General features: G+C 41.2%; 1 annotated feature.

Moving 5' to 3' along the window:
* Nucleotides 568–1,767: an enhancer, noted in NCBI's record as "BRD4-independent group 4 enhancer chr4:150015556-150016755 (GRCh37/hg19 assembly coordinates)". NCBI's record gives its function as "activates an origin of replication core promoter dependent on BRD2, P300/CBP, MED14 and CDK7 cofactors, and independent of BRD4, by STARR-seq in HCT116 cells {active_cell/tissue: HCT116}" and the evidence as "EXISTENCE:reporter gene assay evidence [ECO:0000049][PMID:35650434]".

Here is a 2,300-nt window from a genome sequence, read left to right on the forward strand (position 1 = left end):
TTGCTGGAGGTCCACTCCAGACCCTGTTTTCCTGGGTATCAGCAGCGGAGGCTGCAGAACAGTGGGTATTGGTGAACAGCAAATGTTGCTGCCTGATCGCTCCTCTGGAACTTTTGTCTCAGAGGAGTACCCGGCCATGTGAGGTGTCAGTCCACCCCTACTGGGGGGTGCCTCCCAGTTAGGCTACTTGGGGGTCAGGGACCCACCTGAAGAGGCAGTTTGTCAGTTCTCAGATCTCCAGCTGCGTGCTGGGAGAACCACTGCTCTCTTCAAAGCTGTCAGACAGGGACATTTAAGTCTGCAGAGATTTCTGCTGCCTTTTGTTTGGCTATGCCCTTCCCCCAGAGGTGGAGTCTACAGAGGCAGGCAGGCCTCCTTGAGCTGCAGTGGGCTCCACCCAGTTCGAGCTTCCTCGCCCCTTTGTTTACCTACTCAAGCCTTGGCAATGGCAGATGCCCCTCCCCCAGCCTCACTGCCACCTTGCAGTTTGATCTCAGACTGCTGTGCTAGCAATAAGCTAGGCTTCATGGGCATAGGACCCTCCAAGCCATGTGCGGGATATAATCTCCTGGTGTGCCATTTGCTAAGACCATTGGAAAAGCACAGTATTAGGGTGGGAGTGACCCGATTTTCCAGGTGCCATCTGTCACCCCTTTCTTTGACTAGGAATGGGAGTTCCCTGACCCCTTGCACTTCCTGGATGAGGTGATGCCTCGCCCTGCTTCGGCTCACGCTCGCTGTGCTGCACCCACTGTTCTGAATCCTCTGTCCGTCACTCCCCAGTGAGATGAACCCAGTACCTCAGTTGGAAATGCGGAAATCACCCGTCTTCTGCATCGCTCACGCTGGGAGTTGTAAACTGGAGCTGTTCCTATTCGGCCATCTTGGCTCCACCCCCGGCAATATACATTCTTATCACAGTTTTCCTATAGTTAACATTGCGATTTTAATATTCACATAAAATGTAAGAATCTCTCAACAATATAATTTCATTTACTTTTTTCCATCCTTCATGCTCCTGTTGTTATATATGTAACTACAATATTTATTATAATCTCTATAATGAAATGTTATTATTATTACATTTTTTGCTCTAAAAAAGAAGGTCATCAAACTTCCCTTAAGTGCCAGGTAGTAAATATTTTAGGCTTTGATGTCCATATATGTCCTGAATGCATATTATTATTTTTGGTTGTTGTTTTTGATTCATTCTTATATTTTGCTTTTGTAATCCTTTAAAAATTAAAAAAATTCTTAGTATCAGGCCATACAGATACAAGCCAAGAGCTGGATTTGGCCCATGGCCTATAGTGTGTTTGGCACTATTCCAAAAAGCCAGTTGTCTTTTAAAGAAATTATTGTAAGAAAAAATATAGGTTTTTATATCTGACCACATATTTACCATATTTAATTTTCTTTGTTTCTTCCTGCAGATGTGAATTTAGTCTGGCATCATTTCCCTGCAGCCTGAACAACTTCTTTTAACATTTATTATAGTGCAATCTCATGAATTTTCTCTGATTTTAGTTACATAAAAATGTTTTTTAAATTTTATCTCATAAATTCATAAGGCTATATTAATATTATTATCTAAGAATTATGATTTTAATATATTCTTATTAAAGGATGTATTGCTGGATATGTAATTTAGGGTTGGCAGTTTTTTGTTTTCTTTCTTTCTGTCTTAAAGGTACTTTTTTATTGTCTACTGTCATATATTTTTTCCTATAAGAAATCAGTCATAATTATTTACCTTTAAACAAGGTTTCTTTTCTCACTTGTGGCATGCAGAGTACTAAAATTCTTCCTTGCCCCTGAAATTTGCCATATTTATTCTCAGGACTGTGAATATGATGAGATATCATGCCCTGACTTTGTTACATTACAGGGCAAAAGATATTAGTAATCTTGATGATGGTTACTAATCAGTTGACCTTAAGTTAATCAATCTGGGGATTGTCTGGGTAAGCCAAATGTAAACATGTGGAAGAGGAAGTCAGAGAGATTCAGTGTGAGAAGGAGTTGATGTGCCATTGTTGGTATTGACTATGGAAGGGACCACATGAAAAGAAATAGTGGTAATTTCTAGGATCAGAGAGCAGCCTCTGAATGACAGGCCAAAAGGAAACAAGAATCTCAGACATGCAACCACAAGGGACTGGATTCTGCCAAAAACCTGAATAAACTTGGAACAGAATTATTCCCCAAGAACTTCCAGATAAAATCTCAGTTCTGCCAATAACTTGATTTTGACCTCTTGAGACCGTCAGTAGTGAACCCAGCTGAGCCCACCCAGACTT

This window comes from Homo sapiens, chromosome 4 (assembly GCF_000001405.40).
Source record: "Homo sapiens chromosome 4, GRCh38.p14 Primary Assembly".
In the NCBI taxonomy this organism is placed as follows: Eukaryota; Metazoa; Chordata; class Mammalia; order Primates; family Hominidae; genus Homo; species Homo sapiens.